The sequence below is a fragment of the Homo sapiens genome, chromosome X (assembly GCF_000001405.40).
Source record: "Homo sapiens chromosome X, GRCh38.p14 Primary Assembly".
Taxonomy (NCBI): domain Eukaryota; kingdom Metazoa; phylum Chordata; class Mammalia; order Primates; family Hominidae; genus Homo; species Homo sapiens.
Window position 1 is genome coordinate 115,728,733 of NC_000023.11, and position 10,217 is coordinate 115,738,949.

General features: G+C 60.8%; 1 annotated feature.

The window, feature by feature from the left end:
* Nucleotides 290–859: an enhancer, noted in NCBI's record as "H3K27ac-H3K4me1 hESC enhancer chrX:114971507-114972076 (GRCh37/hg19 assembly coordinates)". NCBI's record gives its function as "activates a minimal SCP1, AML or CMV promoter by ChIP-STARR-seq in primed H9 embryonic stem cells {active_cell/tissue: H9 hESC(primed)}" and the evidence as "EXISTENCE:reporter gene assay evidence [ECO:0000049][PMID:30033119]".

Here is a 10,217-nt window from a genome sequence, read left to right on the forward strand (position 1 = left end):
ACCCTGTCCTTGGCAGATGGGACTCGGCGGGACCCTTCTTACTAGCCTGCCTTCCTGACAAACCAGAAAGCGGTCCCCTTGGACCGCCCTGGGGATGGACCCGACCTAACCGCATCCCTAACGATGCGTTAGGATGGGAGGATGGTGGAACCCGCAGGGACGAGAAGGAGACTGGGCACACACTAGGATCCCAGCCCCGGCCCTGCCCCCCGGGACACATTGGCACTTGGGCATTCTCACGGGTCACGGCAAGGCCAGCTTGACCAAGAGGTCAAAGGCGACTGGCGTCCCACTGACCGCTGGGGGTTTGGCCTCAAACTTCAGGTGAACCCACAATTCCGGAATAGCGGGACCGGCACCCGGGCCCTTCTCACGTGGCAGCACCGGCAAGGGGCTGGGGGAAGAGCCCACGCCAGCCTACGTCACGCAGGAAGGGAGCCAGTGGCCACCCCAAACACACCTCTCCTCCTCACACCTGGCCTACGTCCAACTCTCCACGGCTCTGCCCAGAAGGCTGCACGTACAACACACACAGAGGCGGGCATTTCCCTGACGACTCGTGTGTGCCGTGGGGGAGCGGTAGATGGCCCAGCCCCAAGTGTTCCGATCTTCCTGCCCAAACATATTCTGTGACGGAAAGCCTATGTTGACCTCGTCCGGCACTCAAGGCGTGGGCAGCGGCCTAACGTCTGCTGCGGGAACACAGTCGCGTTGAATGCTATTCTCAAGACAGACAAAACAGTGGGAAGACACTACGCCAAGCTGCTAACTCCCTGGCCATTGCCGGACTCTTTCACCCCCATGGACTTTCCGCTGGCATTTTAAACAACATAGTTTCTTTTCTCTGTCTCTTTCTCTTTCTCTCTCTCTTTCTCTTTCTCTCTCTCTCTCTCTCTCTCTGTCAATCTCATAATTTCTCTCTCTCGTGCCACGTTCCCACCCAACGCTCTCTCGCCCACTTCTACTGGGGCCCACTTCCTCTCCTGCTCTCTCTGTCTCAACGTGATTGACTTTCTTGTGCTGCCCAGGACTTCTTGCCCACGTGCGCCTTCAAAACGGTAAGAGCTGCAACTGAACGTGTGAGACATGGTGCAGATAGGCTGAGAGGCGGCGGGAGAGATGCCCATGAACTCAAGTACCCGGACACGCCCTCCACTTCTACCACCACGAGTAACACCGCCCCCACGGGACCGCTCTCGAGGTCCCCCAAGCCAAGGTGAGGCAAGTCCCAGTTGAATGTCATCCCGTTCCTCTTGGGCACGGCGGACCGCTCTCGCCCTTAAAGGTGCGTTGACGTGGAAGGTGAATGTCTCTTTGCGTGACAGTGCCTCAGCGCACGGGCGACGAGGGGCACACCTATCCCCCTGGCTCGCTCTCTAGCTGGATTCAGGTGGAACGGAGGACCATGAACCCTCTGGACCTTTTCTGCCTTGGTCCTATGCTTGTAAGGTTTCCGGCCTAAGAGGCCCATCGACTCCTTCTGCCTTCTTTCAGTTGATTACAAAATAAATAAATAAATAAATAAATAAATAAATAAAAAAGCAGGACATTAAACCTGCCACCTCCAGAGGGTCCTCTAGCTTCCTTCTCCACTCCTGAATTGAGCGAAGCGGTGCCGACCTCCACCCTTTGGGCACGAGCCCCTGCGCACTTGGGAGACTCCTGAACACCCTCGGAGAAGCCAGAAAGCCCCGGGAGATGGCTCCGTCTGCTGCTGTACCAGACCGGGTCCTGCAAAGGATGCATCCTCCGAGCCTCCTCCCTGCACGTCCAGTGGGGCCTGCCCGTATTCTACCTGAGGGACCCACTGGAGGAGAGGCACGGGGATGCTGCCTGAGCAGCGGACCCTTCTGGCGCGGAGCAGGCTGTCCCCAGGCAGAGTCCGACGGGTCCTTCCTTCTGGGTGCCCCCGGCTTCCCGGACTCCAGCAGGCCTGGGAAGGCCCCGGGCCCCCTTAGCCGATGCCCAGAGAGTCTCCATTTCTCAAGCTTTGCCACCGAACTCATCGGTCGGTGCGCCTCTGATCGCAGGGCAAGGGCCTGCGCACCCCCAAAGACAAGCGGGGTCCCCGGAAGGCCCCCAGGCAGAAATGAGCACCACGGGGAACGGCCCGCCTCCAAGACAACCTCGGGGACATGGACACAACAAGACAGGGTGGCAAGTCTCAACAAGGCGGGTGCGCGGCGTCTGAAGGTGGCCGGGCCGGGCGGCCGGCCGGGCTGGATTCAACTGGGACTTGCCTTCACCTTGGCTTGGGGGACCTCAAGAGCGGTCCCGTGGGGGCGGTGTTACTCGTGGTGGTAGAAGTGGAGGGCGTGTCCGGGTACTTGAGTTCATGGGCATCTCTCCCGCCGCCTCTCAGCCTATCTGCACCATGTCTCACACGTTCAGTTGCAGCTCTTACCGTTTTGAAGGCGCACGTGGGCAAGAAGTCCTGGGCAGCACAAGAAAGTCAATCACGTTGAGACAGAGAGAGCAGGAGAGGAAGTGGGCCCCAGTAGAAGTGGGCGAGAGAGCGTTGGGTGGGAACGTGGCACGAGAGAGAGAAATTATGAGATTGACAGAGAGAGAGAGAGAGAGAGAGAAAGAGAAAGAGAGAGAGAAAGAGAAAGAGACAGAGAAAAGAAACTATGTTGTTTAAAATGCCAGTGGAAAGTCCATGGGGGTGAAAGAGTCCGGCAATGGCCAGGGAGTTAGCAGCTTGGCGTAGTGTCTTCCCACTGTTTTGTCTGTCTTGAGAATAGCATTCAACGCGACTGTGTTCCCGCAGCAGACGTTAGGCCGCTGCCCACGCCTTGAGTGCCGGACGAGGTCAACATAGGCTTTCCGTCACAGAATATGTTTGGGCAGGAAGATCGGAACACTTGGGGCTGGGCATCTACCGCTCCCCCACGGCACACACGAGTCGTCAGGGAAATGCCCGCCTCTGTGTGTGTTGTACGTGCAGCCTTCTGGGCAGAGCCGTGGAGAGTTGGACGTAGGCCAGGTGTGAGGAGGAGAGGTGTGTTTGGGGTGGCCACTGGCTCCCTTCCTGCGTGACGTAGGCTGGCGTGGGCTCTTCCCCCAGCCCCTTGCCGGTGCTGCCACGTGAGAAGGGCCCGGGTGCCGGTCCCGCTATTCCGGAATTGTGGGTTCACCTGAAGTTTGAGGCCAAACCCCCAGCGGTCAGTGGGACGCCAGTCGCCTTTGACCTCTTGGTCAAGCTGGCCTTGCCGTGACCCGTGAGAATGCCCAAGTGCCAATGTGTCCCGGGGGGCAGGGCCGGGGCTGGGATCCTAGTGTGTGCCCAGTCTCCTTCTCGTCCCTGCGGGTTCCACCATCCTCCCATCCTAACGCATCGTTAGGGATGCGGTTAGGTCGGGTCCATCCCCAGGGCGGTCCAAGGGGACCGCTTTCTGGTTTGTCAGGAAGGCAGGCTAGTAAGAAGGGTCCCGCCGAGTCCCATCTGCCAAGGACAGGGTCCCGCAGGTGGGCCAGGGCTGGCCCAAAGCGGCCGAGATGCTGATCCGCCATGTGCGGGGCGCTGTTGGCGTTTTTTCCTCAGCAAAGGGCGGAGGGAGTGGACGTGGGGGAAGGGCAGGTGGGCATTTCTGGAGCAATACTGCCATCAAGAGGAACTGGCTTGGCAATCCCGCGCACCCTTCGCTGTGCTCGCCTGGGGAGGAGTGGCTTGGGACTGTCCTGGGGGACCAGGCAGGACTAGGGCAGGTGCTCGGACGGATCCGAGGTCTCTGGAGGTCCGAGAGAAGCAGGCTCCGCCGCGGGGTCGGGCGGTGGAAGCCCCAGAGAGAGGCGCCAGGACTAGCTGGACAGCCAGGACGCCGGGCCGTTCCCGGACAGGAAGCCACGGCTCGGGAGCCTGGTGGCGGCCATGATCTGGGCGGGACCAGCGGAGGCCTCCGCCAGGGAGCCTGGGCTCGGGGCCTTGGGCAGTTTGCCTGGTGCCCCTTCCCGTGGGAGCAACCGGGGTGACGGCCTAGCTGGGTCCTCGGCCCGGGAGGCTCCGTCGGCCACACTGCACGCCTGCGGTGTGAGGAGGGCCGACTGCCAGTGCTGAGTTCCGTGGCCATTGGCGCGGGTGCCCGCCGCTGCTGGCCGGCGCCGGGGCGTTCCTCCTTGCGTCCTAGGGAGGAAGGTGGGCCGCGGGGCATCCCGCGGGGCCCGTACCCAGACGGTTCTTGACGAGGTGGACGCAAGGCCAGGCCCGGCCCGGCCCGGCCCGGCCCGGCCACCTTCAGACGCCGCGCACCCGCCTTGTTGAGACTTGCCACCCTGTCTTGTTGTGTCCATGTCCCCGAGGTTGTCTTGGAGGCGGGCCGTTCCCCGTGGTGCTCATTTCTGCCTGGGGGCCTTCCGGGGACCCCGCTTGTCTTTGGGGGTGCGCAGGCCCTTGCCCTGCGATCAGAGGCGCACCGACCGATGAGTTCGGTGGCAAAGCTTGAGAAATGGAGACTCTCTGGGCATCGGCTAAGGGGGCCCGGGGCCTTCCCAGGCCTGCTGGAGTCCGGGAAGCCGGGGGCACCCAGAAGGAAGGACCCGTCGGACTCTGCCTGGGGACAGCCTGCTCCGCGCCAGAAGGGTCCGCTGCTCAGGCAGCATCCCCGTGCCTCTCCTCCAGTGGGTCCCTCAGGTAGAATCGGGGCAGGCCCCACTGGACGTGCAGGGAGGAGGCTCGGAGGATGCATCCTTTGCAGGACCCGGTCTGGTACAGCAGCAGACGGAGCCATCTCCCGGGGCTTTCTGGCTTCTCCGAGGGTGTTCAGGAGTCTCCCAAGTGCGCAGGGGCTCGTGCCCAAAGGGTGGAGGTCGGCACCGCTTCGCTCAATTCAGGAGTGGAGAAGGAAGCTAGAGGACCCTCTGGAGGTGGCAGGTTTAATGTCCTGCTTTTTTATTTATTTATTTATTTATTTATTTATTTATTTATTTTGTAATCAACTGAAAGAAGGCAGAAGGAGTCGATGGGCCTCTTAGGCCGGAAACCTTACAAGCATTAGGACCAAGGCAGAAAAGGTCCAGAGGGTTCATGGTCCTCCGTTCCACCTGAATCCAGCTAGAGAGCGAGCCAGGGGGATAGGTGTGCCCCTCGTCGCCCGTGCGCTGAGGCACTGTCACGCAAAGAGACATTCACCTTCCACGTCAACGCACCTTTAAGGGCGAGAGCGGTCCGCCGTGCCCAAGAGGAACGGGATGACATTCAACTGGGACTTGCCTCACCTTGGCTTGGGGGACCTCGAGAGCGGTCCCGTGGGGGCGGTGTTACTCGTGGTGGTAGAAGTGGAGGGCGTGTCCGGGTACTTGAGTTCATGGGCATCTCTCCCGCCGCCTCTCAGCCTATCTGCACCATGTCTCACACGTTCAGTTGCAGCTCTTACCGTTTTGAAGGCGCACGTGGGCAAGAAGTCCTGGGCAGCACAAGAAAGTCAATCACGTTGAGACAGAGAGAGCAGGAGAGGAAGTGGGCCCCAGTAGAAGTGGGCGAGAGAGCGTTGGGTGGGAACGTGGCACGAGAGAGAGAAATTATGAGATTGACAGAGAGAGAGAGAGAGAGAGAGAAAGAGAAAGAGAGAGAGAAAGAGAAAGAGACAGAGAAAAGAAACTATGTTGTTTAAAATGCCAGTGGAAAGTCCATGGGGGTGAAAGAGTCCGGCAATGGCCAGGGAGTTAGCAGCTTGGCGTAGTGTCTTCCCACTGTTTTGTCTGTCTTGAGAATAGCATTCAACGCGACTGTGTTCCCGCAGCAGACGTTAGGCCGCTGCCCACGCCTTGAGTGCCGGACGAGGTCAACATAGGCTTTCCGTCACAGAATATGTTTGGGCAGGAAGATCGGAACACTTGGGGCTGGGCCATCTACCGCTCCCCCACGGCACACACGAGTCGTCAGGGAAATGCCCGCCTCTGTGTGTGTTGTACGTGCAGCCTTCTGGGCAGAGCCGTGGAGAGTTGGACGTAGGCCAGGTGTGAGGAGGAGAGGTGTGTTTGGGGTGGCCACTGGCTCCCTTCCTGCGTGACGTAGGCTGGCGTGGGCTCTTCCCCCAGCCCCTTGCCGGTGCTGCCACGTGAGAAGGGCCCGGGTGCCGGTCCCGCTATTCCGGAATTGTGGGTTCACCTGAAGTTTGAGGCCAAACCCCCAGCGATCAGTGGGAGACCAGTCGCGTTTGACCTGTTGGTCGAGCTGGCCTTGCCGAGACAAAAAAGAAAAAACAAGTGCCAATGTGTCCCGGGGGGCAGGGCCGGGGCTGGGATCCTAGTGTGTGCCCAGTCTCCTTCTCGTCCCTGCGGGTTCCACCATCCTCCCATCCTAACGCATCGTTAGGGATGCGGTTAGGTCGGGTCCATCCCCAGGGCGGTCCAAGGGGACCGCTTTCTGGTTTGTCAGGAAGGCAGGCTAGTAAGAAGGGTCCCGCCGAGTCCCATCTGCCAAGGACAGGGTCCCGCAGTGGGCCAGGGCTGGCCCAAAGCGGCCGAGATGCTGATCCGCCATGTGCGGGGCGCTGTTGGCGTTTTTTCCTCAGCAAAGGGCGGAGGGAGTGGACGTGGGGGAAGGGCAGGTGGGCATTTCTGGAGCAATACTGCCATCAAGAGGAACTGGCTTGGCAATCCCGCGCACCCTTCGCTGTGCTCGCCTGGGGAGGAGTGGCTTGGGACTGTCCTGGGGGACCAGGCAGGACTAGGGCAGGTGCTCGGACGCATCCGAGGTCTCTGGAGGTCCGAGAGAAGCAGGCTCCGCCGCGGGGTCGGGCGGTGGAAGCCCCAGAGAGAGGCGCCAGGACTAGCTGGACAGCCAGGACGCCGGGCCGTTCCCGGACAGGAAGCCACGGCTCGGGAGCCTGGTGGCGCCCATGATCTGGGCGGGACCAGCGGAGGCCTTCGGCAGGGACCCCTGGGCTCGGGGGCCTTGGGCATTTTGCTTGGTTGCCCCTTCCCGTGGAAGCAAACGGGGGTTAAGGGCCAAGCTGGGTTCTTGGGCCGGGAAGGTTCCGTTGGGCCAAAATGGCAAGCCTTGCGGTTTGTAAGTAGGCCGAATTGGCAATTGCCGAGATTCCGTGTGCCAATGGCGCGGGCTTCCCGGCGGCTTCTTGCCGGCACCCGGGTCGTTCCTCCTTGTGGGTCCAAGGAAGAAAGTTGGCCGCGGGGCATTGGGGTACCCGCTATACCAGAAGGTTCTTGACCAAGTTTAAACCAAAGCAAGCCGCGCCGGCCCGCCCCGGCCGGGAAACTTTAAAAACCGCGAACACGCCTCTTTTAAACTTGCGAAACTGTGTCGTTGTGTTCAAATGTCCGAAATTGTCTCTGAGACGGGTCTTTCCCCTGGGGCTCAACATCGGCTGGGGGCCTTCCGGGACACGCTTTTCTTTGTGGGTGTGAAGAGCTGTCCGGGATAATAGGGCAGGAGCGAATATTGGTGGAAAATTTAGAAAAATGATATCTCGGATATCGATAAGGGGCCGCTTCTAAAATCCGGAGATCTCAAAAGCGGGCACCAAAAGAAGTTTATTCAGGTAAGGCAGAAGTACGACCTAGGGCTAAAGTGTATTTGCCTTAAATTCCCAAAGACCCGGGCATGGCGCTCTATCTTTGTATATCCAGCACTTTGGAGAGCCATGGCTGGAGGAGTGCTCAGGTCCAGATGCTTCAGCACAAGTTTCGTCTAATTCCCTGATCCTTCTTTTACTAAACTAAACAATAAGTCCTGCATCTTGTGTGAACCTGTCATTGCGCACATTTGGAGTCCTAGGCACGCAGGGTCAACCAGGTCAGCGAGGTAGATCGATCTGTGTCAACATGGTCAAACCCCGTTTCTAATAAGAATGCAACATCTAACCGGGCATGGTGGCCCACCACTGTGATCTGAGCTAATTGGCAGGATGAGACACATGGAGTAGAGGCACGGGGATGCTGCCTGAGCACGCAGACCTTTCTGGCACGCAGCAGGCTGTCCCCAGGCAGAGTCCGACGGGTCCTTCTCTTCTGGGTGCCCCCGGCTTCCCGGACTCCAGCAGGCCTGGGAAGGCCCCGGGCCCCCTTAGCCGATGCCCAGAGAGTCTCCATTTCTCAAGCTTTGCCACCGAACTCATCGGTCGGTGCGCCTCTGATCGCAGGGCAAGGGCCTGCGCACCCCCAAAGACAAGCGGGGTCCCCGGAAGGCCCCCAGGCAGAAATGAGCACCACGGGGAACGGCCCGCCTCCAAGACAACCTCGGGGACATGGACACAACAAGACAGGGTGGCAAGTCTCAACAAGGCGGGTGCGCGGCGTCTGAAGGTGGCCGGGCCGGGCCGGGCCGGGCCGGGCCTGGCCTTGCGTCCACCTCGTCAAGAACCGTCTGGGTACGGGCCCCGCGGGATGCCCCGCGGCCCACCTTCCTCCCTAGGACGCAAGGAGGAACGCCCCGGCGCCGGCCAGCAGCGGCGGGCACCCGCGCCAATGGCCACGGAACTCAGCACTGGCAGTCGGCCCTCCTCACACCGCAGGCGTGCAGTGTGGCCGACGGAGCCTCCCGGGCCGAGGACCCAGCTAGGCCGTCACCCCGGTTGCTCCCACGGGAAGGGGCACCAGGCAAACTGCCCAAGGCCCCGAGCCCAGGCTCCCTGGCGGAGGCTCCGCTGGTCCCGCCCAGATCATGGCCGCCACCAGGCTCCCGAGCCATGGCTTCCTGTCCGGGAACGCCCGCGTCCTGGCTGTCCAGCTAGTCCTGGCGCCTCTCTCTGGGGCTTCACCGCCCGACCCGCGGCGACTGCTTCTCTCGGACCTCCAGAGACCTCGGATCCGTCCGAGCACCTGCCCTAGTCCTGCCTGGTCCCCCAGACAGTCCCAAGCCACTCTCCCCAGGCGACACACAAGGGTGCCGGGATTGCCAAGCCAGTTCCTCTTGATGGCAGTATTGCTCCAGAAATGCCCACCTGCCCTTCCCCCACGTCCACTCCCTCCGCCCTTTGCTGAGGAAAAAACGCCAACAGCGCCCCGCACATGGCGGATCAGCATCTCGGGCGCTTTGGGCAGCCCTGGCTAGAAGTGGGCGAGAGAGCGTTGGGTGGGAACGTGGCACGAGAGAGAGAAATTATGAGATTGACAGAGAGAGAGAGAGAGAGAGAGAGAGAGAGAGAAAGAGAAAGAGAGAGAGAAAGAGAAAGAGACAGAGAAAAGAAACTATGTTGTTTAAAATGCCAGCGGAAAGTCCCATGGGGGTGAAAGAGTCCGGCAATGGCCAGGGAGTTAGCAGCTTGGCGTAGTGTCTTCCCACTGTTTTGTCTGTCTTGAGAATAGCATTCAACGCGACTGTGTTCCCGCAGCAGACGTTAGCCGCTGCCCACGCCTTGAGTGCCGGACGAGGTCAACATAGGCTTTCCGTCACAGAATATGTTTGGGCAGGAAGATCGGAACACTTGGGGCTGGGCATCTACCGCTCCCCCACGGCACACACGAGTCGTCAGGGAAATGCCCGCCTCTGTGTGTGTTGTACGTGCAGCCTTCTGGGCAGAGCGGTGGAGAGTTTGACGTAGGCAGGGTGTGAGGAAGAAAAGTGTTTTTGGGGTTGCCACTTGCTTCCCTTTCCTGCGGTAAGTAAGCTGGCGTGGGCTCCTTCCCCCAGCCCTTGGCGGTTCTTCCAAGTTAAAAAGGCCCCGGTGCCGGTCCCGCTAATTCGGAAATTTTGGTTCACCTGAAGGTTGAAGGCAAAACCCCAACCGTCAATTGGAACCCATTGCCTTTGAACTCTTGGTCAGCTGGGCTTGCCGGGAACCGTAGAATTCCCCAAATTCCAATGTTTTCCCTGCCCCTTCCCGTGGAGCAACCGGGGTGACGGCCTAGCTGGGTCCTCGGCCCGGGAGCTCCGTCGGCCACACTGCACGCCTGCGGTGTGAGCGAGGCGCGACTGCCAGTGCTGAGTTCCGTGGCCATTGGGCGGGTGCCGCGCTGCTGGCCGGGCCGGGGCTTCCTCCTTGCGTCCTAGGGAGGAAGGTGGGCCGCGGGCATCGCGGCCGTACCCAGACGGTTCTTGACGAGGTGGACGCAAGGCAGGCCCGGCCGGCCCGGCCCGGCCCGGCCACCTTCAGACGCCGCGCACCCGCCTTGTTGAGACTTGCCACCCTGTCTTGTTGTGTCCATGTCCCCGAGGTTGTCTTGGAGGCGGGCCGTTCCCCGTGGTGCTCATTTCTGCCTGGGGGCCTTCCGGGGACCCCGCTTGTCTTTGGGGGTGCGCAGGCCCTTGCCCTGCGATC